The sequence below is a fragment of the Homo sapiens genome, chromosome 16 (genome assembly GCF_000001405.40).
Source record: "Homo sapiens chromosome 16, GRCh38.p14 Primary Assembly".
Classification (NCBI taxonomy): domain Eukaryota; kingdom Metazoa; phylum Chordata; class Mammalia; order Primates; family Hominidae; genus Homo; species Homo sapiens.
In genome coordinates this window covers 19,318,458-19,323,750 of record NC_000016.10, presented here as the reverse complement: position 1 = coordinate 19,323,750, position 5,293 = coordinate 19,318,458, and positions in this window count along the sequence as shown.

Below are 5,293 nucleotides of genomic sequence, written 5' to 3'. Positions count from 1 at the left end.
GAGTTCCAGGTTGACTTGAGCCACAGGGACATTCTGAGTAAGATTCAGAAGGTGGATGTGGGGCAGCAGCCATGTTGTTTTCTGTGCTGGGGGAGGCCGGAGCCTGCAGGGGGTGATGCAGCTCACGCACATTGTCTCTTATCTGCTGGTTCACTGGGTTGGTGGGGAAGCAGCCAGGCCCACAGTTCCTGGATCCTCTTTCCGTTCTCTCCACTCCTGGCTCAGATGCTCGTTAAACTGCACAATGAAGAGCATCAGCTACTGCTGCAGGATTCTCCCATCATTGATGCTGGAGACTTGGAGGCAGTGACAGACCTACGTGAGTTCTGGCCTGTCCTCTTAGTTCCAGCTCAGTCTCTCAGGTTCCCGTTTGTCTTCGCGATTCTCCACTTCATGTCCATCATCCTTTCCTGCCTATGTGTCCCATGGATGTCAGGTTCTAGCACAAGACACAGAAACAGCGGCCTCATGTAGACTGTGCCCCCAGCTCCCACCATTGCGTAGAGTCAAATCACTATATAAATCCCTTAGGACATATATCTCCTGGTGATGTTGCCTCTCTTGACTGAAATGCAGCCCTGACTGATATGCAGATTCTCAGACCTGTTAGCTCAGTTAGTGTGTACACTCTAGTCCATGTACAGGCAGAGGAGATGCTGTTATCCCCATTTTATTGAAGAATAGACAGATACTTGAGTAATGGACTCAACTCACAGCAATAGTAAGTGTTGGAACTCTTGCAAGAACTGGGGCTTTCTGATTCCTAGCCCTGCCCTCCTTTTGCTATGCTCTGAGGCTCTCTCTTTCCTTGACCAGTCAACAGCCCCAAAGATACGGCTAAAGAATCCCAGAACATCCACTTCCTCCTGCAATTCTGTGTCCTACTTTGCAATGGCCGTACAGGCTGTCACATTGGGAGGACAACATTGAGAAAGACCTCTGGGTCCACGGTGCCCTTGACATTCCTGGGTGGGTGGAAGAATCTGAAGGACAGTCTGAAGGGTCTTACCACCTGCGTTGGACCCTCTAAAGCCTTCTCCTTTAAGGGGGGTGGACACTCTGCCTGACTCTTTGCTTACCCCTATTTCTCCTTCTCACAGATGAGCTTCTACTTTGAGTGGCCAGATAACAAGTCACTGATGAAGCCATGACGACTAATGGGCAGAGTTATTCCTCATTGAAAGGCATGTTAGTCAGAGTCCTCCAGAGCAACAGAACCAACAGGATGTGCATAAAATCAATGAATAAATAAATATCTAAACATTTTGATGTTAAGGAATTGGCACACACACAAGTAGGGAGGTTGGCAAGTCCAAAATCTGCAGGGTAGGAAGGCAGGAGACCCAGGGAAGAATTGATGCTGCAGTTCAAAGTCTGTTGGTGGAGTTCCTTTTTGCTTGGGGGAGATCAGTCTTTTTCTTAAGGTTTTCAATGGATTGGATAAGGCCCACCCACATTATGGAGATGTGTAAGGGTTCTTTGTAGAAACAAAACCAATAGGATGTGGGATACACACACCACACACACACACACAGAGAAGAGATATACTTACCATAAGAAATTGGCTCACATGATTATGGAGGTTGGGAAATCCTAAGATCCGCAGGGTGGATGGGCAAGCTGGAGACCCAGGAGAGCTGATGGTATATTTCCTGCCTGAATATGAAGGCCTGAGATCCAGGAGAGCTGCTGGTGTAGTTCCAGTCTGAAGGCTGGCAGGCTTGAGTCCCAGAAAGAACTGATGTTTCAGTTTGAGTCCAAAGGCAGGAAAAAGGCTGATGTTCCAGTTCAAAGGCTGTCAAGCAAGAATAATTCTCTCTTATTCAGGGGACGGTCAGCCTTTTAGTTCTAGTTGGGCATTCGGCTGACCGGATGAGGCCACCCACATTAGAAAGGGCAATCTTTTTACTCAGTCTACCTATTCAAATGTGAATTTCATCTCAGAGACACACACCCTGAATAATATTTGGCCAAATATCCAGGCACCCTATGGTCCAGTCAAATTGACACATAAAATTTACCATCATAGGAAGGTAATTACTTTACTCAAAGTCTACTGATTTAAAGGTTAATCTCATGTAGAAGAATATGGCAGAAGTGACTCCATGCCAGTTTCCAGGCCCAGACCTCAGGAAACTCACAGCTGTAGAATGCAGCAGCTCATGCTTATAGTCCCAGCACTCAGAGAAGCAGAGGTGGGAGGATTGCTTGAGCCCAGGAGTTCAAGGCCTGCCTGGGTAACATAGCGAGACCCTGTACAAAAGAAAGGTGGAAAGAAAGAACGAAAGAAAGAAAGAGAAAAAGAGAGAGAAAGAGACAGAGAAGAAAGAAAGAGAAAGAGAGAGAGAAGGAAGAAAGAAGGAAAGAAAAAAGAGAGAGAGAAAGAGAGAGAGGAGAGAGAAAAGAGAGAGAGAAGAAAAAGAAAGAAGGAAAGAGAGAGAAAGAAAGAGAAGGAAAGAAAGAAAGAAAAAAAGAAAGAAAGAAAGAAAGAAGGAAAGAAAGAAAGAAAAGAAAGAAAGAAAGAAGGAAAGAAAGAAAGAAAAGAAAGAAAGAAAGAAAGAAACTCATTCCCAGCATTTACTTCCTATCACTTGGAATCTAGCAACCATGCTGTGAGGAGGTCCAAGCAGCCTGTGGAGATGCTCCCACATAGAGAGCCCTGTACTCCTTAGCCATCACCTCCAACCCCCACCTCACCAGCCCTAGGGTAGGTGGGTTTTTATATTTAACTGTGGGTTACTCTGGATCTTAGGTTTATCAATACATCACAGAGTCATTGCCGACCCAGGGAGTTTCACAGTTTGTTCCCAGCAGGCTGGACCCAAAGTCCAAGTGCTAATGTTGGGATTTCATCCCACTGGAATATTTATGCCAGTTCATATTTCTCCTGTTTCTAGCCCCTGCCTCCCACCTCTTAGCCACATGTTTCTGAGATGGGGTCATGAGGGTGAAGTCACCATATGGTGCCATAGCACACCCCACCTTTGCTTCCCTTCTTTCATATATCTTATCAATACAGAAACATCTAAGGGGCATGGGGATATTTTGAATTTATGAGATAGACGTGTTAGAATTTGACATTTCACATGTTCATAGAGGGATGGAAAGTTGCTATCATCTACTCAGAACCCCCAGACCAGCACTTAACAGGTACAATTTCCAGATACTCAGGAATTCCTGCTCTCTGAGCTCACATTACCTAAAAGCAGAGTCTAAGACAAAGGTGTATGTGACTTATTGAGGGCGTGCTCGCCGGATAAATTTGTATGGAAAGAAGAGAAGCAAAAAAGCCTGGAATAAATTAAGTAAGAAAGGGAAATCTACCCTCAACCTGAAGCCATGGTGAGCTCTAGAGTCTAAATTGCACCCCAGAGTTTACTGTGATTTGAGGCAAGAGAACAGAGCTCTTGTACCTCCACACCAGTCAGCCACTGGCCCTAGCCACCTGTTGAGGGTGGCACCATGCATCAAGGCTCACAAATTTCAACCTTCAAGCCACCTTCTTTCCGCGATCCCTCCTGTTTTCAACAGACCTGATTGTCCTCCGCTCAGTGAGAAGCCTCAACATTCTAATTTCCTAAAAGGGCTTTCAGAGCTTCAATTCAGAGAAGTCCCGTGGAGGAAGTGGCCTTCTAGATCACAAATTGTAGACCATCGAGTCTATATTACTGATCTTTTGGTTTCAAGTGTGAAGACCAATTATCTGAAAGTTTGGAATAAAGTAAAAAAGATAGCTGCGTAACTTCCAAATCAAATTAGAAAACTGTCTGCCTAAGGGTTATCTGATTCTCTAGAGGATGTAATGTTGATTTTATTATTGATTAGGGCTTGGATTCTATAACATTTGATGTTAAATTGTAGAAAATTGAGGTTGCAAATGATTTTTGTCCTGTAGGGGTGCAACTGATTTCTGTCCAGTAGAGAAGATAATAACCTCAAAGATTATTGACATGTCATTATCCTAGAACAGAGGCCAGCACACTTTTTGAGTAAGGAGACAGATAATACATATTTTAGGCTTCGTGGGCCATACAGGCTCTGTCGCTGTCAATTCTGCCATTACAATGTGAAAGCAGCCACAGAAAACACATAAATGAATGAGTGTAGCTGTATCTCAATAAGACTTTATTTATGAACACTGTAACTGGTATTTCATATTATTTTCTTTCCTTTTTCCTTTTTTTTTTTTTTTTGAGACAACAGTCTCACTTTGTCACCCAGGCTGGAGTGCAGTGGCACAATCAAAACTCACTGCAGCCCCTACCTCCTTGTCGAGGGCTCAAGCTATCCTCCCACCTCAGCCTCCAAGTAGTTGGAACTCCAGGTCCACGCCACCATGCTTGGCTAATTTTGTTTGTTTGTTTGTTTTTGTAGAGACATGTTTTTGCTATGTTGCCCAAGCTGGTCTTGAACTCCTGGGCTCAAGTGATCCTCCCACCTCTGCTTCCCAAAGTGCTGGGATTACAGGCGTAGCCACCACACCTGGCCCCGTATCATTTTCATATGCCGCAAAATACTGTACTTTTGTCAACTGTTTAAAAAAATTCTTAGTTCATGGGCCATGCAAGAACAGATGGTGGATTAGCCTAAAGGTTTTATTGTTCTGTAGATGACTGACTAGTTTTGTATTTAACTCAGACATTCATTCCATCTTTCTTGGTCCCACTAAATGCATGTGCATGGGTGTGTGTGTAAATTTGGTGGGGTGTGTGCACTGGTTTTCCTATCTCTGAACCAGTTTACCCTCCTGCTGTTTCCTTCATAAATGAGTTAAATAACTCTTTGATACATATTCACCATGTATTTGTATGACAGTTATTTTTTAACCTTCTGACAATTATACTTGGGTGCATGTCACAGAAATCCTTGTGAGCTAGCTTCTCCGTTCACTTCTTTCCCAAATTCCAATTCGTTTTGAATATGCAGTTTGGCCACCTCTTTTGTTCCCTTGGCTCTTCTCCTCGCATCAAGTGTAATATCAAGACGTTTTCCTGAATAAAGGCAGTTCTGTCCCCAAGAGAAATTGTGGTGCTTACCATTTTTCTCCTACCATTCTATTATTACTATAATAAATTTAATAGATTCCTGGACCAGGCATGGTGGCTCACGCCTGTAATCCCAGCACTTTAGGAGGCTGAGGCAAGCAAATCATTTGAGGTCAGGAGTTTGAGACCGGCCTGGCCACCAACATGGTGAAACCCCGTCTCTACTAAAAAAAAAAAGATACAAAAATTAGCCAGGCATGGTGGTGGTCACCTGTAATCCCAGCTACTTGGGAGGCTGAGGCAGGAGA